General features: G+C 41.0%; 1 protein-coding gene across 3 annotated transcripts in view; it reads right to left on the bottom strand.

Annotated features, from left to right (window-relative positions):
• CAP2 (cyclase associated actin cytoskeleton regulatory protein 2) overlaps nt 1-24,090 on the bottom strand; it is a 164,186-nt gene that overhangs the window by 74,983 nt on the left and 65,113 nt on the right. For 2 of the 3 annotated variants that reach the window (NM_006366.3, NM_001363533.2), the window contains exon 4: nt 19,725-19,802. The exons of the other annotated variant lie outside the window; for it this stretch is intronic. In NM_006366.3, the coding sequence (NP_006357.1) occupies nt 19,725-19,802 (78 nt within the window). The remainder of the gene's footprint in view (nt 1-19,724; nt 19,803-24,090) is intronic. 3 annotated transcript variants of the gene reach the window in all.

The raw sequence follows: 24,090 nt of genomic DNA, 5'->3' as shown, positions 1-24,090 counted from the left end.
ATTGGTTAAGATGAGGTCGTACTGCAGTAGGGAGGGCCCCTGGTCCTGTACGACTAGGTGTCCCTATGGAAAGGGGAAATGTAGACACAGAGACAGACACACAGGGAGAAACCACGTGAACATAAAGACGGAGTATGATGCATTTACAAGCCACGAAACACCAGATTACCAGCAACCCTCAAGAAGTCAGGAGGGAGTCTCAGAAGAGATTCTTCCCTTGGGCCATCTGAGGGAGCGTGGCCTTGCCCATGCCTAGACTTTTTTTTTTTTTTTTTTTTTTTTTTTTTTTTGAGATGGAGTCTCGCTCTCTCACCAGGCTGCAGTGCAGTGGCGCGATCTCGGCTTACTGCAACTTCTGCCTCCCAGGTTCAAGCGATTCTCCTGCCTCAGCCTCCCGAGTAGCTGGGACTACAGGCGCACGCCACCATGCCCGGCTAATTTTTTGTATTTTTAGTAGAGACGGGGTTTCACCATGTTGGCCAGGATGGTCTCGATCTCCCACCTCGGCCAGATCATGTGCTGGGATTACAGGCGTGAGCCACCGCGCCCAGCCTACGCCTTGACTTCTAACCTCCAGAACTATGAAAGAATAGGCTTCTGTTGTTTAAGCCACTAACTTTGTGTTATTTTGTTCCAGCAGCCCTAGCTGACGAATACACCTACAAAACAGAATAAGGAAGCTCAAGCTTTGAAGGACAGAAAGGAAAGGATCGTGATGAGTATAAAATTAGGAACAGAGATAACAGAAAATTTATTGAACTGAAATAGAATTTTGGCACGAACATCATGAGAATCCAGAGAAAGCCACTCACTCAGTGGTGGGTGACTTCCCATGCCCGAACTCCCCTACATATGCATGTCTGTCACCTTAAAGAAATAGAAAGGCCAAGGCAAAGCTTTAAAGTGATCACAGGTAAAGAGAGCTGGTATTTAATGACATGGAATACTAATTAGATTTCTCTCCTTAGACTTTGGAGGAGGGGAGGATGGGGTGGAAAAGCTATGACAAGGCCAAGAGAAGGTACTTGCCCAGGGTCATTTTGCTCTTTGAAGGCAGAGAAGGATATTTTCAGACTTAGAAAAATTGACCAATTAAAAATATGAAAAGTGTGTCACATAGAAATGTATCCATTTTGCCACTGTAGGAAACAAAACTAGACAGAGATTTATAAGGACATACTTGAGAAACAAATGAATCAGAATGTTATGCAAAGATTAATAGAATATAATGGAAATGGTTAGTAAATTAGCAAGTAAATTCTTGGAACTATCAGGTATTAGCAGAATCTCAAAAAGGATCTCAGATAATAATTACAAATAATGAACAGCTGAAGATGAACAAAAGTTTTTTTTGTTTCCTAGAAAAGAATCCAAGTTTACTTAGTTAATTGAAATAAATAGAAGCAGTTAAAATGGTTTTTCTGGAATATATTATTGTTAAAATGTTAACATCAGCCTACTTAAGGTTATCCTTTGGCCAAGTTCAGAAAGAGATAGAGTTTAAAATCTGCCATAAAAACCACAGAAATTAAAAGAAAAAGCAAGAACGACTACAATAAACATACATTTACTTGGGCTTCAGGACAAATAACATATCAAAAAGCACATGTGAACAGCCTAAACTTGCTTATTAAAAAGAATTAGAAAGTAATTGACTGGATTAAAAAATAAAATTCAACAATCTTGTTTAAAAAACATACATATTTATGCTGGGTGCAGTGGCTCACACCTGTAATCCCAGCACTTTGAGAAGCCGAGGTCACCTGAGGTCAGGAGTTCTAGACCAGCCTGGCCAACACGGTGAAACCCTGTCTCTACTAAAAAAAAAAAAAAAAAAAAAAAAAATACAAAATTAGCCAGGTGTGGTGGTGTGCACCTGTAATCCCAGCTACTCAGGCAGGAGGCTGAGGCAGGAGAATCACTTGAAATCAGGAGGCGGAGGTTGCAGTGAGCCGAGATTGTGCCATTGCACTCCAGCCTGGGCAAAAAGAGCAAACTCTGTCTCAAAAAAAAAAAAAAAAAAACCAAAAAAACCACATTTAGCACCAAGTCATCTTGGCAGATGGGGTGGGGGAGAATGGACTGAGATTGAATCTGTTTGTGTGAATACCAGAGCAAAGACACTTCAGGCGCTTCCATTTGTCAGGCGCAATTTCTCATGCATGAATCCTGCTTCTCTTGCAAGTCCCAGTTCAAGGGGCCCCTTCCTTGTGACCTCTTCTCCAACTCCCCAATCCCTATGCAGTGTTCAGGACTGCTACCTAGGGCCCCCCAACAGCTCAATACTTATTACAATGCCCTTATTACAATATACCAGGTTTAGGTTTATCTTTTGCCCTCGTTGGCCTTTGAGCTTTAGAGAAAGCAGTTCTTGGTGTCTCCAAGCCTAGCTAATCAAATTATGGAATACACTACACCTGTTAAAATGAAAAATATACAGATTAGGAAGAGAAGGATGGACATTTTGGGCCCTTGCATAGTCACATTATACATGTTCATAGCACTTGTGTTGTCCAATGTGATTGGGATAATGGATTTGCTGTGGGGGAGAAGTTTTGGAGGAGAGGACTCAGAGGCTGAAATAAGTTGCAAAGGGCCTTGACTGTCATCCTCTGTAGTCTGGAACTGATTGCATAGGCAACGGATTATGGCAGCATTCCTGATTTGCTTTGTTTTCTGCTTGTTTGGTTTGTTTTGTAGCAACAGTTACGATGATAAGAATGGAAGACAGGCTGGAGGAGCGGAAGCTTTGAGACAGAGACTGGTTGAAGAGGCCATACTGTAGTGTCTGTCAGAGAGTGGTGGGATTGTTTTTCTTCTCTTTTCTTCATTTCACAGATTTTTAAAAAGCAAGCTTGTAATACCCTTATATTAAAAAAATTAAGCTGGGCGCGGTGGCTCACACCTGTAATCCCAGCACTTTGGGAGGCCGAGGTGGGCGGATCACGAGGTCAGGAGATCGAGATCATCCTGGCTAACATGGTGAAACCCCATGTCTACTAAAAAAAAATACAAAAAATTAGCCGGGTGTGGTGGCGGGTGACTGTAGTCCCAGCTACTCGGGAGGCTGAGGCAGGAGAATGGCGTGAACCCGGCAGGCGGAGCTGGCAGTGAGCCGAGATCGTGCCACTGCACTCTAGCCTGGGCGACAAAGTGAGACTCTGTCTCAAAAAAAAAAAAAAAAAAAAAATTAAAAAGCAGATCTTTTTCTCTTCTTCCTTTCTCTCTTCTACCCCTTCCTTTTTTCCCTCCTTTTTTCCTTCCTCCTTGCCTCTTTTCCTTCTTTCATTTTTACTTCCGTCCTCCCTTCTCCTCTTCTTCACTCTCATCCTCCCTTCCTTTCCAAATTAGAGCAAATGGGAATGAAGTGAAGTTTTCACATCCCATAGATTCTCCTGGTTAGGGCATCATCAGGACTCAGAGATCAGCTGGATGTGAGGCGTGGAGGAAAGGAGGGGTCACAAGGACTTAGGAGTTCTGGTTCAAGAGACAGTGTGGCTTGAGGTTCCATCAACTGGGAGAAAGAATGAGGGAGCCCAGCATTTGGAGGAGGTGTGTGTGGTACAGACGTGTGTGTACACACACGTACAGGTGTGTGTGTGGTACAGACGCACTGCATTTGAGCTCCTGGAGGACACCCATGCCCAGGGCCGTGGAGCAAGAGCCTTCAGCTGGAGACGTACAGTGGGCACCACCAGCAGATGAGTGACGGACCCCACCATGGGAACGGATGAAACTGACAGGGGAGAGACCAGGTTTGAGAAAGTCCTCTTCTGATGACATAGAATGAATCTTAAAGGAATATGTACACTTAAGGGATAGAGGGAAGAAGAGAAGTCAGAGCAAGAAATGAAGTAAAACAGACAGAAAGCATAGTGTTATTACCCAAGAGAAGGAAAAACTTTGAGGAGGGTGATGGTCAGCAGTAAAAATTCTTCAAGGAGGCTGAATGGAATGAGGACAATTAAGAAGCAAGCAGGGCACTGGGAAAGTCTTTTTTGGTCAAATGATAAGGAGGAAAGACAGAGGACAGGAGATTAAAAAGTGACAGGGAAGTGAGGACATGACATCAGGGAGGACAGAGTGTTCCTAAGAAGGCTGGCAGTAAAGAGGAGGACAGAGACATTTTAGGCAGTGAAGGAAGTTGTTTTTGTTTTGTTTGGTTTGGTTTTTTTAAACAGAGAAAACTCATTTGGCTTGTAGACTAAACAGAAGGATCCAGTAGGGAGAGAAAGAAGGAAATGATTGATTAGATAAGGTCCTAGGGAAGGTAGGAGGTCACAACAACACGAAAAGGGATATTTATAATGTTATCAGATTAAAAAAGTATTCTGAATAAAAAGTAATTGAGAGGCCCAGTGCGGTGACTCACGCCTGTAATCTCAGCACTTTGAGAGGCTGAGGCGGGTGGATTGCTTAAGCTCAGGAGTTTGAGACCAGCCTGGCCAACCTAGTGAGACCCTGTCTCTACTAAAAATACAAAAAAAAAAAAAAAAAAAAGTAGGTGTAGTGGTGCACGTCTGTGGTCCCAGCTACTCGAGAGGCTGAGGCGGGAGGATCATTTGAGCCTGGGAGGCGGTGGTTGCAGTTAGCTAAGATCACGCTACTGCACTCCAGCTTGGGTAACAGAGCAAGACCTTGTCTCAAGGAAAAAAAGCAACCGAGGGGTCATTATAGGATTGCAATAGATACAGCCTATCTAAAAGAGTAAATGTTTATGACCCAAGCAACATAAAATTTTATATATTATACATAATTATTATTAATGATATATAATTAATATATTTATATATATTATATATATTTCATATATATGAAAAGTGGAAAATGCAAGAAGTAAAGTTAGTAATTATATAAGTTAAAACTCTGTTTAGGACATACCTGAACAACTAAACAAAGAACAGAAGCAAAGTTAAAAATTGTAATCATTAAGAAGAAACTAACAGTTACATGAAACAACCTAAATGACAGGATTACATTTAAATCACAGTTTCTTTTCAAGAAAAATAGATCTTCCCCCAAAATTAATCACAAAGATCTATGCTATTCCTTATATACATGGGAACAATAGTTTTTTCACAAGCAATCGATAGGTCAGGACATAATTATGGGGAGGTTTCAATGATGATCTTGTTAAGTATGAATCTCCTCTGTGCATCCCCTAAATATGGGGAGGAAACCCTCTTCCAGACTCCTTGAGTTTCTCTTACTGTAAAAAGTAATTAGGGTTGACTTTCCACAGACAGAAAGACAAGAGGAGGTTTTCAGAGACTCATTTAATAAGTGATCTTGGGAAAAGATCTTAATCATCTTAAATATCTGGGGTCTGGCTGGTTTTGGATGGTTTATTCATTTTGTCTCCTGTTGAGCACTCGTTATGAGCACTGGACACAGATAGTCAATGTAAAGGAAACAACTAAGTTTAGGGTAACCTGACTCAAAATAAAGGTGCAAAAATAAGTCAAGGAAATGAAAGTGGCCGGATGACATGCTGTAACAGCGCAGGCAGCCCTGCATCTCACAGTTACACTCTTTTCATTACTGCCTTGCTACTAATTAACACCTACACTTCAGCTTCCCTGCCTTGGAGGCTGCAAAAGATGGAGAAAGAAAGAAGAAAATAAGGCCGGGCACGGTGGCTCACGCCTGTAATCCCAGCACTTTGGGAGGCCGAAAGGCCGGGCAGATCACCTGAGGTCAGGAGATTGAGACCATTCTGGCCAACATGGTGAAACCCCGTCTCTACTAAAAATACAAAAAATTAGCTGGGAGTGGCTACACACCTGTAGTCCCAGCTACTCGGGAGGCTGAGGCAGGAGGATCACTTGAACCCGAGAGGCAGAGGTTGCAGTGAGCCGAGATTGCGCCACTGCACTCCAGCCTGGGCAGCAGAGCGAGATTCCATCTCAAAAAAAAAAAAAAAAAAAAAAAAAGAAGTAAGAAAATAAGACCAAAGCAGTTCAGAGAAGTATTGTGGGAAAAAGTTCTAAGGTGCATAGCCACATGATCAGCTCACAACTCCCTCCCTCATTCTAACTGACAAGCCACAGGGATAGGATTATCTTTCTCTATCCTCTCTCCTCACATACTTCCCGTTGTTCTCGTCTTTCTCCTTTTCCCATTTAAGCCTTGGGAGATGGCAGAACAAAGAAAAGTTGAATGAAAAGACCAGTGCCAAGGGAGCCCTCCCCAGTGCACTCCTGGGTACAGCCTCAGAATGCTGTGATTCTTTGATTGTTACTTCTGAAAAAGATAATCCAATCTCAAGCGTGGTATTAGAGAATTACAGAATGATTTTGAACATATCTGTCCAGGCCAGAGAAATGCTGTCAAGAGAGGAAAAGACAAGAGCTCTCACTTAATCACAAAAAACATTTTAAAAATATGGGTGGTCCAGTGCTTTTCTATGAAAAGACATTTCAAATTCTAAAGAGTCAAATAAAATTATTATTGATGATTATTTACTATGGCCATCCATCATCAGCTTCAGATAGGTAAGTTATGATATAGACTTTTTTATGAGCTGTACTGCAGTTAGAATTCATTAGCAACTCTTATAATCAACGTAAACACTGTATTTTAACCACTTTACAGGACATGGAGCCACATTTTCCCATTTTAAATAATCAGAAAGATTTTAGTTGTATCTTGGTTTGTATGATGTATAGTTTGTCCTGTCTGTGCTTAATTTGCTGTCAAGCTGGTAAAATATGAAGCTTCAAATTACAACCCTGCTCGTATGGGAAATATAATCCAATTATGACTATCCAAGAGGAATCCTGTACACATTCAACTATAGGATATTCAGCCAAAGAAAATGATGGGACTCCTGTTGTTCAAGTCATTTAAATCCAATTTGTGTGATGTGTTGGTCATTATTCTATATAGAGATTCCATCTGCACAGAGACAGGATAAACCCTGAAGTTCTTCTGCGCTGCAGTTTCTGTAGTTCAAGCTGCATAATTACCATCTTCAGAGGACTGACATTGGACATTCACAACAATTTCATTGCCTGAAGAAAGTACCGTTTTCCACAATTTACATGAAAACTCTGCACAGGGAAGAATCCATCTAATTGGAACATTTTTCAGCAGCATTTAAATATCAGGCCAGCTGGATCTCCACAGCCCATGTGAATTTAATCAGCACATTCTTCCCAGAACCTATATTCTATAATCATTGAAGGCTTGAGCGACATCTGTCACCCAAATCTGGTTGCCGTCATTTCTCATCGTTAGCGCCACACATCTAGAAATGAACCATTCCGTGGTCCCTTCCAAGGCATTCATTTAGTAAAAGGGGGTGTAAGAGAAACAAACCTTTGAAATGAAATGCCTCACCAACACTATCTCGCTTGTTCTTCTCTAATCTTCCCATTTCCCATAAGGAATACTCTTTCAAGGCTGATCCAGGACTTACATGTTACCAGTTATGCTGTCAATTGATAACTAAGTCCTTACCAAATACACCTCCAAATATCAAGTTCCTTTTCAGTAAAAGATAACAGCATCACCAAACGACAATGTCCCTCCTTCACTCAGTTCCCTTCCCTGAACCACTGTAATCCATGAACCTAGCTTTTCTTTCTTTTTTTTTTTTTTTGAGATGGAGTCTTGCTCTGCTGCGCAGGCTGAAGTGCAGTGGTGCGATCTCAGCTCACTGCAACCTCCGCCTCCCAGGTTCAAGTGATTCTCCTGCCTCAGCCTCCTGAGTAGCTGGGATTACAGGCGCACGTCACCACATCCAGCTAATTTTTGTATTTTTAGTAGAGACGGGGTTTCACTATGTTGGTCAGGCTGGTCTCAAACTCCTGACCTTGTGATCCGCCCGCCTCGGCCTCCCAAAGTGCTGGGATTGCAGGTGTGAGTTACTGTGCCTGGCCGAACCTAGCTTTTATTCCTCAAACAAAACAAGTGACTCGGAACCCGAGCCTCTCTTCTCATCAAACTTGGCATCTAATAAAAAATATTGTGAAGACCACAATATGTCAGAAAAGCAAAGAGATATCAACTCTAAAGATCCCTGAGGCTCTGCAAATCTTGTTGAGGGGATGGAAAATATGCACAAAAAAATAACAGTAGAAGTGTTTCTAAAATAACAGTTATTTCAGAAGTTACTTGTTGTTTGACAGAGACTACTACATAGGTGCTGAGGAAGTTCAAATAACATCATCCCGACCTTATTTTCCAAAGTATGTTCTCATACAAATGAAATAATAGATGCAGACGTGCTAAGTGCTCTGACTACTATAGAGTAGGCATGCGATAAATACTTAGTGAAAGAAAAGCCTGAAAAATAAATTAATGGAGTTGAGGAAATTAAAGAGGGCTGCAGTATGTAAGATGAACAAGGCCTGACAAAGATCTGAAGCAACTACTTACAGGCAAATTTATCTAACAAACGATTCCAGATATGGAAACACTAGTTCTCAAAGCAGTGGATGAACCAAAACCTGACATGCCCATTTTTTTTTTCCTGTTTAGTTATGGGAAAAAAATATCAAACAAGAAGGACATTTTCGAGGTGTTTGCCACTATAAACTTAAGCATGAAGCTGCACTAGGGGAACGGATTTGGAGAATAGAACAAAAAAAAAAAAAAAAAAAAAAAAAGACTGTTTTTTTCCTCTGTCTTGATTAGTTTGAAAAATGTCTTTCCTCTTAAATAAACAGACATCAGCTAATCAGGGGAGGGGCTAAAAAATGGAAAATGGTAAACTTTGGTCTTTATTATTCTGGCAATGTTGACTAGCTAGTTCAAAATTTTGTTTTCAAATCTCTGGAAGGCAGAGTGTATTTCAATTAGCTTGGTTTACAGCAGTTTGTCTTCTCCTAAAGACAATTATATAAAATTTATTTAGATTATTTGTAGTTTTAGTACTTATGGAAGTGCCTGCATTTTCAATTAAGAGCTAAATATACAAATTAAAAGTACTGCACAGTGAAGCTTCAATCGAGCCCTCACTGGTTGGTGCACATAAACACTAATATCAAATGATGGTTTTGTCATGTGATCCACCCCCCAGCACATACAAATATAGAACATGACCATAAAAAGTAACGAACCATGCCCTCTGCTAAGTAATTTATGACAGCAGATCCAGACTGGAATGCCAGCTGGAATTACCTTCTCCTTGCCTTCAATTTTCACATATACAGCTTTGTACAGATGACAGAAGCTATGTTCTGCAAAGAGGATCTAAGTTAAGGCTGCTGAAACAATTAACAAGTAGCAAATCCAAATAAAAGGTCAAAATATGTTTGGCTTTTAAAAAGATTTGTTGAATGACACAGTGACCTCTTTCTAAATTACTTTTTGATTCAGGTCATGAGAGAAAAACTTGCAACTCTTACACTTTTTATATCAGATTGATGGTGGCTAAGCAAGCAAATATTGAGCTTCACAGTGTAAAATGATAGATCGTTGATAATTATTTTATTAAAAACACAAAGTGACCTCAATATTTAACTAAATGGAGAATAAAAAATTCCCTAGTCAAATATTAGTACATACACAGTTTTATCATTTATGTAGCATTTGCCATCAAGGCAGTCTGGAATTCTAACGAACTTAGTATGGAACAGTTGATCAAACAAAGGATATTATCCTTCTTTATTAACCTTTACCCCTCAGATAATCTCTTGAATCCCCAGGGTGTGATAACCACCTCACTTCCTTTGGGCAGCCATTCATTATCTAATTCATGTCTTATACAAAGAGAGATGAGCTAATGTGCCTTATCAGATTAAAAAAAAAAAAAGGTCACCATGAGTGATGTTCCAACAGGACAGGATCTTAGCAAATCCCTTCTGCCTCCACAGTCCTGGGTTTCTAAATACCTATAAAGCTACCAACTCATAGTCACAGCTCACAGGCTCACCCACAGCTTTATGTTGCTAAAGCAAACAGTCTGGGCAGAAGAATGACAGAATTACTCTCTTTTCTGATTACCTCCCTCTCTGCATCCTGATAAACTAATGATTAGCTTTCCTGTTGGGATTCAGCCCTGACTGGGTAGCTTCAGGCTGTCAACTCAAGCAAACCCTGATGATATCACACAAACCCCTGCCTCTCCTTCCTTCCTTGGTGTTTTATTGTGTGTTAACCAGCATCTACATCCAGCACGGGCAGTAGCCGTCACATGCTAGCCACCATGTAATTACCAAGGTAATTCTCTTGCCATTGGAAGGCTCATAGGAAAAGGAAAAAAGCCTTCTTTTTGCCTCACTTCTCCACCTTCTGCTACTCAGAAAGCTGCTGTTTACATAAAAGCAATCTTGTAAGTATCAGAATGCAATTGGTTTTTACCTATACTACATAAATTATATTTAAGCAGATATTTTAGTTGAACTTAAACTAATACACTTCTCCAGAAATTAAAAGCATATATTGCCTTTGGGTGCTTTTGTGTTGGTAGTGAAGAGAGCCAACCCATTCAGCACTATTTTTTTTTTTTTTTTTTTTGAGACGGAGTCTCGCTCTGTCGCCCAGGCTGGAGTGCAGTGGCGGGATCTCGGCTCACTGCAAGCTCCGCCTCCCGGGTTCACGCCATTCTCCTGCCTCAGCCTCCCAAGTAGCTGGGACTACAGGCGCCCGCCACTACGCCCGGCTAATTTTTTGTATTTTTAGTAGAGACGGGGTTTCACCATTTTAGCCGGGATGGTCTCGATCTCCTGACCTCGTGATCCGCCCGCCTCGGCCTCCCAAAGTGCTGGGATTACAGGCGTGAGCCACCGCGCCCGGCCCATTCAGCACTATTAACAGAGCAGAAACTTACGCATATTTATGAAGTGAGACTATCGAGGTAATTTGGAAAAGCTCATAAAGTGAGTCACTGGTTTAGATTCTAAGGTGCTACTCCTTCCTGAAACTGTCAATCCAGACCACTGGGAAATACCACGGCTAAATGGCTAAACTGAAACATAACTAAGCGTGATACAAAGAATGAAACCTTTTTTTTTTTTTTTGAGACGGAGTCTGGCTCTGTTGCCCAGGCTGGAGTGCAGTGGCGCAATCTCGGCTCACTGCAAGCTCCACCTCCCGGGTTCATGCCATTCTCCTGCCTCAGCCTCCTGAGTAGCTGGGACTACAGGCACCCGCCACTATGCCTGGCTAAATTTTTGTATTTTTAGTAGAGACGGGTTTCACTGTGTTAGCCAGGATGGTCTCGATCTCCTGACCTCGCGATCCGCCCGCCTCGGACTCCCAAAGTGCTGGGATTACAGGCTTGAGCCACCGTGCCCGGCCTAACTTTTTTACCTTTTACTTCTCTTGTAGCTTTTTTCTACTTCCAAGATCAATGAAACCGATATTTAAAAACCCATTAAAAATCCTTGCTGTGCACATATAATTAACAGTAGTTACTCAACAGAATATTTTCTTCATGCCTTTGTATTAAGAAAAACCCAACTTCATAGCAATATTTCAAAATAGACATTTCATTTTACATTAGGGCCAGAATTACTTTATTGCATTATGTTATCTGTCATATGGCCCTTGACAACAGAACTTAGCAGCACTAATCATGGCCAAATCTTTCAGGAAGATTCAGCAATTCTGATTGAGCAATGCTATGACATTTTCTGGGCATGGACTTAAGAAACACTTGGGAGTTTGGCTCTGTGTTCCTTCGTTTGCTTTTCCTTTGCAATTTCTAGACCTGCCACTAGCACCAAGTAATTTACCCAAGGTATGCTCTGAGATCAGTCACATGATTACTTTGTTTGGCATTTTAAAATACTGGACAATAACTTGACACCTTATCGTTATGGTAAAACATTTTATAGGGAAAAAGTATAAACTCACTGTAGTTAAAAGAAATTTTGAAATATCGCATACATACATAGATACATCTATTTATACCCAAGTGCAATAAAAATTCAGCTGTTAGATTTCAAAGTCTTTCTTGTCTTTCCCTGGACAGCTAGAGAAATGGGGTATTAGTCTGGAAAATCCCTATGAGTTTTTGGAAAGACAATACATTTCCACAGAGAAAGAGCTCATTTTAGCCAAACCAAGTGACTCACTCTGGTGGACTGGCCAAATGCTCACCAAATCTGTTACTTCTTCCTTCCAGGCATAGAGGTGGGTTAAATTCCCCAGTCTCCTTTGCAGCTAGGAATGACCAGAAGACTGAATGAAGGTGAGGTGACATAGGCCATTTCCAAGCCCAGCCCATAAAACCTTCCTGCATTCTCTTTTCCAATTCAATGGCTGAGGAATTAGAGGAGTTGGGTGCCCCAAGATGGAAGAAGCCTGGACCCTGAACTACCATGTGGAAGAATGGCAACCAAAAACACTGGAGCAGACCTTATGTGAACAAGAAAAAAAATCTCTTCTGTTAAGCCTTTGAGATTTGGGGACTTTTTGCTAAAGCAGTCAGACAACACTGACTAATAATGAACTTTTCTAGTCAGTCACATGACCCTCGCCTGCTTTTTCTCATTTAATCCTCACAATAACCCTTTGAGATAGGAATTATTTGTTATCCCTATTTTAAAGACAAGAAAACACGGGCTTAGAAAGTTTAACTGCCTTCCCCCAAGTGGGTAACTTGACAAGTTGGTTTGGTTAGAGTGGGTCAGTGGATTACCAAGTTAATTCTCCAGTAGATACCGAGAAAAAGATAGAAGATTCTCAAACTTAGAAGACATAGATGAATTCGTTTTTCTCGCATTTGGATTAGCAGAGCTAATGAGTAGAAAATGTGAAATTCAAATCCAAGTAGGCCCAAGTCCAAAGTTTCTGCTCTTGACAACCCTCACAAATTAATATGTTTTATTAAAATCCTGAACATATTTATGCCCACTAATAATCTGGATCTCTCATGCATCTAAATAATTAGCTTAAGTCCTAAGATCACTGCCGCTAGGCTTTTTTGCTTAGTTTAATGTGAACAAATTATTAACAAATTTGATGACTGCTCCATGCCTTAGAAAATCCTTATGGAGAAAGTGCTGAGCGGAGGACTGTGCTGGGCATGTGCATTCACTCAGAGATGGAGGAACGGCCAAGAAGGTTCACTAACCTTCCTTCTCCATCTAATTTTTCAGATTGTATAAACAATGAAAGGAAAGAGAATCAGTTTTAGATGCCTGCTTTATGCACAGGAAGGCACTATTTCCCTTTAAAGTACAAGTTCAAATAAAGACAAGAAAACGAGAGGGAGGATAGTAGAAACGCGCTCTCTGTCTCTCTCTCTCCCCCTTATGGAGGAATACAGAACTCAGACTTCCTAGATAGAATAAAACCTACCAGGCAGCCAATGACCATAAATCATCTTCCCTGAAGTTGAAAAACTTAAGATTAATTTTTTCTCTATGTGCAGGTACATATTGATTCCATGCAAATACACACACACACAGACACACACACACACACAGACACACACAGACACACACACACACAGAGATCATTTCACTGTCAGGTCTTAGCAGCACGAGAAATGCTGGAGAAAATAGGGAAAGTGTGAAGGCAGCAGAAAGCCTGCTGTACTTATGGCCCCTCAGCTATAGTTCTCCACCCTCCGGGTGCTTCTCTTCTGCTCCTGCAAACTACTCAGGGTTAGACTGGTGGGACATCAGTGGGAGACCTCCCAGGAATTCCCCGAATGATAGTCTTCCTTGGGGTGGTGCCCATCAAGGCATCAGATGCGTGGTTTACAAAAGGTTACCTCTGCAGCTCGGGCGAGAGTTTTGGAGTCACCCATGGTTAAAATTGTTAACACTCTTGTTTTCTCATCTCTCCCAGGTGAGGTGAGGTGAGGTGGCCTCAGGCCAAAAAACACTTGTTCATGTCAACTCAACACTTTCTACAATTTTATTTTGACATACAACTCTTATAAATGACGTGTAGTGTGGCTCTTACATGTAGGGTCTGCAAAAAGGACTCTGGACAGTGAATAAAGGAATGGGTCCAGGTCTACATCCTGGGGCTGGATTATTAATGTATCACTGAATATTGTTTTTTACGTTTGAGAACTAGAAATAACATACTTCCTCTATGCTCACCTGCTGTAAAAGTAAATGAATAGTTGAGCAAGCCAGGGTGGGGGCTTCTTGGCCATTTTCCATGTGAGAATCCTTCCATCAACTGGAAGAGGATGGGCTTGACAAATTCTAGACTATAAGAAGTGCTGTAAGAACTGGGCCATTCTTTTGCTCAAAGGTTATTTATGTAAAATACAACAAGGGGAGACAAGAAAAGCTGAGATGCTTTGCAAATATTTTATAATGTGTTTTGTGTCATGAGCATGTAATAAATCAATGAGAAAGGTGCTTCTGAACTGCAAGGTGTGACCACTAGTGCATCTTAAGATCAGTTCAGTGGGTGATGACCACAGCACAGCATAGACTAGAAGAAAAATGTCAGAATGCAGCGCACATGGTAAGAATACTGTTTTGTGAAACTGGGTGGTAAAGTAAAATATCCTTTTTTCTGTGGGTCAAGGCTGAAATGTTGAAATGTCCTAGTATTAGAGAATGCAAGAGACCTGTTTCCTCATTGCCAAAGTGAGAAAGGAAATTTGAAATTGGGGGTCACCATTGTCAATCAGGGCTGTCAATGAATCCTTTATCCGGCTTCTGCCAGGATAGATGGAAGGGTGAAGGTGGAGGAACTGAAGGGCACATTGTGGTCTATGGCCTGTGGTCTTATTAAAAAAAAAAATTCAACATGGATAGAACTGGAGATTGTTATGTTACGTGAAATAAGCCAGGCACAGAAAGGCAAACATTGCATGTTCTCACTTATTTATGGGATCTAAAAATTAAAATAATTGAAATCATTGACATACAGAGTAGAAGGATGGTTACCAAAGGCTGGGAAGGGTAGTGGGGGAGCTGAGGCGGGGAGGTGGGGATGGTTAATGGGTAAGAAAATAGTAGTTAGAAAGAATGAATAAGGCCTACTATTTGATAGCATAACAGGGTGACTGTAGTCAATAATAATTGCACATTTTAAAATAACGAAGAGTAGGCCGGGTGCTGTGGCTCATGCCTGTAATTCCAGCACTTTGGGAGGCCGAGGCGGGCGGATCACGAGTTCAGGAGTTCAAGACCAGCCTGACCAACATAGTGAAACCTCATCTCTTCTAAAAAATAGAAAAATTAGCTTGGTGTGGTGGCGTGTGCCTATAATCCCAGCTACTCAGGAGGCTGAGGCAGGAGAATTGCTTGAAGCTAGGAGGCTGAAGTTGCCGTGAGCCAAGGTAGCGCCACTGCACTCCAGCCTGGGTGACAGAGCAAGATTCCGTCCCAAAAAAACAAACAAACGTTAAGAGTATAATTGGGTTGCTTGCAACACAAAGGATAAATATTTGAGGGGATGGATACCCCATTCCCCGTGATGTGGTTATTATGTATAGCATGCCTGTATCGAATCATTTCATGAACCCCATAAATACATATGCCTACTATGTACCCACAAAAAGTTTTTAAAAATTCATTACCTTAGAGTTCAGCAACAAGGGAATTGAGAGAATCCCTATTAGTTTTCTATTGCTGTGTTACAAATTACCACAAACTCAGTGGCTTAAAACAATATCCATTTATCATCTCACAGTTTCTGTAGATCAGAATTCTGGGCCAAGGCAGAGCTAGGTTCTCTCTCAGGGTCTCACAAGGCTGACGTGAGCCACAACCGACCACTCATGTTGGTTTAGTTTTGCCTTATGCTGTGGCAGCAAGAGTGGTCACTTGCATTCATTAGCAGGATCCAAGGGACTCCCTGGAAGGTTCTCCAGCCCTGAAAGATCTTCCCTCCCCAATGCCCAAAACTCCTATTAAAGATTAATTCTATACTCTTTTCTCTCAGAGCCCTGTTACAACACTAAGTAAATAATTATATGAGTCATTATTTAGTAACTCATCTACTAGATACTAAGCTGACTTGCAACAGATAGCTATATAGTGCGCACAAGAAATAAACCTCTGCAGTTGTCCATCACTAAGATTTTAGAGATGTTTGTTACTGCAGCATAACACGGCCTACTTTGCTACAGAAATGGTAGGAGAAGAGAATATGAATTCGAGATTTGACTACCAAGGGATTCTGTGCTTGTTGGGATTGTGGATGGCAATGACTAAAGTCTTGCTGCTCAATGTGTAGTGAGAAATCAGCAGCACCAGCATCGCCGGGGAGCCTGTTAGAACTACAGACTCTTGCACCCCACTTGAGACCAACTGAATCAGACTCTGCACTTTAACAAGATCTCCAGATGATTCAAATGAATACTGAAGTTTGAGAAGCAGTGGTCTAGAGACCGTTGGAAATGAAATTCTGAAGCACCTGAAATAAATCTGAGCTTCAATTGTAACAGTGAGAGCCATCCATACAGCACAGGATCCAAAGTGTGGTCTCTGGACGAGGAGTATCACATCACCTGGGAACATTTTAGAACCGCAGAGTCTTGGGACTCAACCAAGACCTACTGAATTGGAAGCTCTGTAAGTGGGGCCCAGCAGTCTGAGTTCTGACAACCCTCCAGGGAACTGTCATGCACGCTAAAGTTGGAGAATCACTGTTGTATGTCACTGAGAGCTGAAATTACAGCAGTTAATTCTCTTCCTCCTGAAAGAAGGAGGACAGTAAGACACAAATGGTTATAATAATTGTTCCTATGAGAAAATACGATCTGCATTATGATACTGATCTTTAAGATGCATCTTCTAGAATGCATACTGGGTGGATCAAGGTCTGGCCATAGACTGTTTTCACCACTGTGGCGATTGTGTATGACAGACGCAGTTGACAGCAATGACTTGAGCATACCCTGAGAGTGATCTTGTACGGCAGATCCACCTGAATGTGTGTTCAGAGTCTGCAACTAAGGAATCTGGGAGTGGCCAACCTGGAGATCCATTGCTCTTCTATGAGGAACATTTGAGCCCCTGGGGCTTCCCAGGGAACGCTGTGGAACACTGGCCATATGGGGGAGGGAGGCCTTTTGTTTTAGGTTAAATGAAGGTTACCAGGTGGAGGTTGTTAGAGGGAGGATGTTACATGAAAATGCTATATAAATTACACGCCTTTCGCAAGTGGTTGTAGTTCTCCTGTCCAGCCCTCTGCTACTGGACTCTCTCCCCTGTATGCAAGTCCCCAATAAACTTCAGGTCTTTTCTGCTGGTTCTGGGTCTCTTCTTCAGCCTCTTGAGCCTGTACCATCCCCACTGGAGTGGACAGGGGTTCTGAACAACACGTGGTGATCACTCAGGTCTGCTTTTCTGTCAGGTGGAAGTAGTAGGACGGTGTTCTGAATAAAGAGGAAAGGGAAGTAGAGAGAAGGGCCAGGAAGGGAGGTAGGCATCATAAGCCTGCTCTGCATTTTCCTGGTCCTGGTCCAGGCCTTATTGCACATGGAGCACTGTGGTAAGTGCTGCCAGACGTTTCCAGTGCATGCCTCCCTGGGAACCAGTTTCCCTCCCCTTTATCAAGAATTCAATAGAGCCAGGCACAGCGGTTCATGCCTGTAATAACAACTCAGGAGGCTGAGGTGGGAGGATCACTTGAGGCCATGAATTTGAGACTACAATGAGTTAGGATTGCACCACTGCACTCTAGCCTTGGTGACAGAGCAAGAGCAAGAACCCATCTTTAAAGAAAGAAAAGAAAAAAAAGAATGCAGTAGAGTAAGAAAGGGAAACTGTAGATATGACCCAAGAATCTGCACAGCCACATGCTAGGCCACACAGTGTCCCTGACTATGGCTCATGCTGGAATGCCACAGACCCAATGCATTCATCCATTGTTCATTCACTTACATTTTCATTCAATATTTAGTGAGTGGCTTTTTTGTCTAAGGCCTGCAAAGCCATTGGAGAGGCCTCTTGTTCTGAGGCTTAGGGAAGGGATGGAGTGGTAACCCAGTGAGGAAAGTCACAGTTCTTCTTCTACCTGAGAATCTCAATTGGACCACCTCTCCTCCCACTTCACAGAAAAGGCAGGCTAAGGCTGAATCTACAACACATCGCTTTGTGATTTCCCAGTTTCATTTTGCTCTTCTGCAAAGCAGAGATTGAGAAGAGCAAGGAGGAAAATGCATCCATGGTGGAACACGGAATATTTTCATCTCTACAGAGCCTCCTACCTAGGCTGTGAGCTAACTCCTTTCACGTGGAGGGAGGTGATATATCCATCTTGGGTGGGGGCTGACAGCTCTGGTTGAAAGTCAGAATCACCCGTGAAGCCCATAGAAATCTCAAAGCACAGGCCACTCCTCAGACCAATGAAGTCACAGTCCCTTGGGTTGGGACCCAGGTACTGGTATTTTTTAAAATTTTGCAGGTGATTCTACTGCACAAGCATGGCTGGGAATGTCCGTTCCAGGGAGGGTCTCAGGTCTCTGGTCTTGCCTCTTTATGGAGCTGAGTGTCATCCCCTGAAGGTCAAAGTTCTGGATTCCCAGGATTCTTAGCTCAAAATTTTCAATTTCAGGAGTTTGTTTCATAATTCAAAGTGAGTTATTACATTTAAGCTATTGTGTCATAACATATGCTCAATTTATTTTTTATTTATATAAATGTTCTTAAACTTCGGATGCAGAATATTTAGCCAAAATAACAATTTTTATTTTTTTCTGATAAAACAAAGTATGCTGGTAGTGCCACTACTTTTTAATGAATAATTTCATTCGTGACACAATCAGCATTGTCAAAAGTTGTTATTATGAACCCTTGGTAGAGGGAATGCAGTTATTTGCATGATACAATGTCAGTAGTTTGGGCAGGTGGTGATCACGCTTTGGTTTAGAGAATCGAAAATTTTCAGGGCCTGGGGAATGAGACGGACCTCCGCCAACCATTAATTTGCTCTTAACATCTGTTCTCACAATTTGATTCCTTCTGTATTAAAATTTACCATGGGCCTTACTTGGTAATTTTACAATAGATTAAAAGTTGTTAAAATTACTACATTGGTAATATTGTTGCAGTTAGCATCAGATCCTCTAACACCTCTAAATATCTTTAACCTAAGAAAAGTTCATTCATATTTATGGTGGAAGAGAAAGGCGAGATGGACTATACCTAAGTTCTTATAGAGTCATGAAAACTCTTTCCAATTTTGGTGTTTTGAGAATGAGGATCAGCAGCATGGGCATCACGCAGGAGCTTATTAAAAAGCAGAATCTTGGGACACAATCCAGGCCTGATGAACCAGAAACTGCAATGAAGCTCCGTAGACGACCCATAAACACAAAACACTTAACCACCAATTTAGCCCATCTACGCTACTTAGGAAATAGGAGCTAATAAAATCCATACATGGAGGTTAGAGATGATCATAGATGTGAACAGTCTTTGGTAACAAAGCAGCTCAAAATCTGAGCTAAAAATTAGTTATAAACATTTCCTTGATTATAAAAAGGTTGTGAGACTAGTATAAAGATCACACAAGTCAACTCACCTTTTAAACTGGTAATGTCCATTTGTTACAGTAAGAATTTGGCCATAATGATATATTAGTAGTAAGAAGACACATTGCTTTTTTTCTTTCTTTTTTTTTTCGCAAATGGCATACTTAAAAAAAAAAAACTTGTCTACTATTAATGAGATTAGGAGAGAGAAGAATTGTTCTATACCATGATCCAGATTAGAGACAGAACATACACGTGCTGTAAGTCTCATTTTTAGGAGGTCGACTATAATAAATGCTTCTGTTGCCTCCTTGTTTTCCATCTTACACTGCGCATACCCTGGGACACCTTCCCTCTCAGGACACTCTCTTACCTCGTGGGGTTGTTGGTACTGAGAGGCCATCAGAAGGAAAGCCCGCTGGGCCTGGAAAGCACTGTGCACCATTTCTGCCTGGGAACAAAGAGGAAGATGGCAGTTTCAATGTTTGACTCCTAAAAATTGTTACCATATAATCTGGCAATTCCACCCGTAGGTATATACCCAAGAAAAATGAAAATATATCTTCACACAAAAACTTGTAAATGAATGTTCGTAACAGCATCATATAATAACCAAAACATGGGAACAACCCGAATATCCATCAACTCATGAACCAATAAACAAAATGTGATATATCCATACCACAGAATATTATTCAGCATGAAAAAGAGACAAGGTACTGACACCTGCTACGACATAGGTGACCCTTGAAAACATTACGCTGAGTGAATGAAGTCAGTCGCAAAAGAGTACATTTGTATGATCCCATTTATATAAAATGTCCAGGAGAAGCAAATCTATAGAGACAGAAACCACTACAGAGCAGTGGGTGCTGGGGCTGCTGGGAGGGAGGAATGGGGAGTGAACTGCTAATGGGTATGGGGTTTCTTTTGGGGGTGGTGAAAATGTTCGGGAAATAGTGATGATGGTTTCAAAACTTGGTGAATATACTGAATCATACACTTCAAAAAGATGAATATTATGACATGTGAATTATATTTCAATAAAGCTGTTAAAAAATGTTTGAGCCCCAAAGTGCACTTGTTTTCAAAGCCTGTCTCTCTCTTACCCTCTTTCACACTGTGCCCACATTCTATTCTACACCTTCTAGAGGAAAGAGAATTGTCCCTTAAGCCATCACCATTTAGATATGCTCACTGAAAGCCAGTGGCTTCTAATCATTAAGATGGGCCCAGGAGAGATGTCAGTGCCATTTGGGCCCTGGTAGAGGGGGCCCCACCTGGACTCAACACCCCACAAGGAGACGTGTAAGCAGGAATGGCCTCAAACACATATTCTCTTACCTTCACCCTTGACTCATTCAACTAATTTGTTAATTTTTGTGGGTTTTTTTGGTTCTTTTTTCTTTTTTTGTTATGTTAATTTTTTTTTTTTTTTTTTTTTTTTTTTTTTTGAGACGGAGTCTCGCCCTGTTGCCCAGGCTGGAGTGCAATGGTGCGATCTCAGCTCACTGCAAGCTCCGCCCCCCAGGTTCATGCCATTCTCCTGCCTCAGCCCCCCGAGTAGCTGGGACTACAGGCGCCCGCCACCACGCCTGGCTAATTTTTTTGTATTTTTAGTAGAGACGGGGTTTCACAGTGTTCGCCAGGATGGTCTCGATCTCCTGACCTCATGATCCGCCCACCTTGGCCTCCCAAAGTGCTGGGATCACAGGTGTGAGCCACCACGCCTGGCCTTGTTAATTTTTTAAATTAAAAAAATTACAGAAGTGTACCAAGAAAAAATATCCAGATCACCCAGGATTAACCATTTTGGCATTTTTTTCTAGTTTTTAAGAAAATTCATGCAGTTATTCTTGTAAGATAAAGCATACTGACTTGGAATAGTTTTTTTTTAAATGCAGAAAGTTTCAAAGATTAGGCAAGGCATGGCGGCTCATGCCTGTAATCTCAGCACTTTGGGAGGCCAAAGTGGGTGGATCACCTGAGGTCAGCAGTTCAAGACCAGATTGGCCAACATGGTGAAACCCTGTCTCTACTAAAAACACAAAAATTACCCATGCATGGTGGTGCATGCCTGTAGTCCCAGCTATTTGGGAGGCTGAGGCAGGAGAATCATGTGAACTTGGGTGGCAGAGGCTGCAGTGAGCCGAGATTGTGCTACTGCGCTTCAGACTTCAGACTGGGTGACAGAGGGAGACTACGTCTCAAAAAAAGAAAAAAAAAAAGGTTTCAAAGATTACAGGGTTTTTTTTTTTGTTGTTTTGTTTGTTTTTCTTTTTTTGTCTGTTTGTTTTAGAGACATGGTCTCACTCTGTCACCCAGGCTGCAGTGCAGTGGTGCAATCTTGGTTCACGGAAGCCTCCAACTCTTGGGCTCAAGCAATCCTCCTGCCTCAGCCTCCTGAGTAGTTGGGGCCACAGGCGCACACCACCACACTCGGCTAACTTTTGAATTTTTTAGTAGAGGTAAGTTCTTGCTATGTTGTCCAGGCTGGTCTCAAACTCTTGTGCTCAAGCGATCCTCCTGTCTTGGTCTCCCAAAGTGCTGGGATTACAGGCATGAGCCACCACACCCAGCAAAGATTAGAGTTTTAAAATAATGCCTCACAACCTAGAAATAATCATTAAATGAACATCATTGTAACCTCCTTTTAAGAATATATGCAGAGAGACTTAAAAAGCATACATTTTAGTTATGATTGAATCGTAGAGATGTAAATGAAAAAGAACTGTTAAACTTCAAAGAAAAGTTTCTGCACCATAATAGTTTTTATGTCCTAAAAGATCATTCTAAGGTTAAAAAAAAGATTATAAAATGTTGAGACTGGGATAATTATGTATTTGCACTCTAAAATGACATGTTATAATTCTAGATAGTATTGACTGACTTCTTGCTGGGAAAGATGAGAACATAAGTACTTACACTTTTTCCATCTCTGATCCCTATCTTCCATGGTTTTTAGTTATTATTTTTATTTTCTCCAAACTGATAGCAATAATATTCAATCTGTAGTATTAGTGTACACAGTTGTTAAGTATTAGTTCTGCATTTATGCAAACCTAATGATTCTCATCATAACTTCTCCGTTTCTGAGTTAATTTTATTTTTTTTTAACTGGCCAGGCATTCATTATTGTGTATTTTCTTCAACAAGCTCTCAGTTGTTTTTTAGTTCTTTCAGGTTGAAGCACGTCTCCCTGTTGTCTTTATATTTTAACAAGATCTTGATGGGATATAATATCCTTGGGTCACTTTCTCTCTCCATTTTCAGAGAGCGTGGCCCCAGATGTGGCAATGGTGACATCTGAGACTAGCTTGATTTTTTTCTCCCTTGTAGGAAATTGACTTATTCTGATTTGATATCTCAAGAATTATTTCTTTATCCTTGAGGTTTAATAGCTTCACTAAGATATGTTTGCGTTTTGAACATTCCATAGTATATTTCCTGGAATAGGTTTAGTCCTTTCTTCATTTCTGGGAAATTTTATCACATCTTTCAGTGTCTCTTCTGTTCCTTTTGTTAGAGTCTCTATTCAGGGACCCAATTATTATCCTCATAGTGTAGAATATTTGAATGTCTTAATATCTTTTAGAGTCTCTCTGTCTTTAATCTCCTTGTTTGTTATCTGCATTCTCTGTGATTATAAGAATACTTTTTCTATTGTTAGTAAACAAATTTTCAACAGGTCTCATATATGTTATCATTTCTAATTTACATATCTTTTTTGCATTAATGTATTTAATTCTTGATTTGTCAGACTTTAAATTTCCTTTTTCATTTCATTCTTGTTTTATCACCTTGTCTTTAGGCTATTTTAAAAATACTTTTTATAATCTTGTTAAATTCTAAGAGTACAAGTTATCTTCTTATTGAGGAACCTGTTTCTGTTCCTTAAATACTATTTTCTTCAAGGGTAAGCCCCTGTCTTTCTACTTTGCATGCTAGCCTCCTTTCTGACACATTACTTGTAGCTGCCACATTGGCTCTTTCCATCTTGCACATATTTTAATTTTTCTGATAAAATGTGGGTGATTCCTTGCCATCATATTGGAGATCAGCTTCTTTGCCCTTTCAAGCCAGAATCTGGGGGCTAAATGCTTTCTGCTCTCTATTCTTTAAGGCCTGCTAGAACAGGGAGAGGAAGAATTTGGCTGAGGTGATGTCCAGTCTTTATTTGTGTCTTCAAGTGCTGCTCATTCTTCTGGGAATTTGCTAAATGCCCCAAACCAGGATTCACTCCCCATTCTTGGAACACATGCCATTCGGATGGAGTGGTCCCTTCCGACTTTAGATCATTTCTCTGATTCAAAACCTAGACATGAGGGCTTTACATCTATAAACAGAAGCAGTCCATGGTGTTTTTTTCTTGCTTCATATTCTCCTTTCCTGATTTCGTTTCCCCTAAGGAATGTCTTTAAGGCGTTTTGGGGACAGGGTTAGAAATCAAAAGCCACTCAGCCACCAGTTACTAAAATGTATTGCTTTAGGTTATGGGTTTTTTGTTTGCTTACTACTAGTGAGGTGTTTTTCTTTAATTCTTTCTTTTTTTTTTTTTTTGCTCCTTTGTGGGGAGGGAAAAATTCTGTGATTCGGTTTTATTTGGTCATGAGTTTATATTCTTCTATACATAATTTCATTTTTAATCTCCTTCTTTTTAGCTCCACATCTGTTTATGGGCAGTTTCTATCTCTCTGCAATCTTGGATGTGACTGACTTCTCTAGTAAATAGGCAAGAA

Source organism: Homo sapiens, chromosome 6 (assembly GCF_000001405.40).
Source record: "Homo sapiens chromosome 6, GRCh38.p14 Primary Assembly".
NCBI classification, from domain to species: Eukaryota; Metazoa; Chordata; class Mammalia; order Primates; family Hominidae; genus Homo; species Homo sapiens.
Note: the sequence above shows the minus strand (reverse complement) of the source record. Positions and strands in the feature narration are given on the sequence as shown.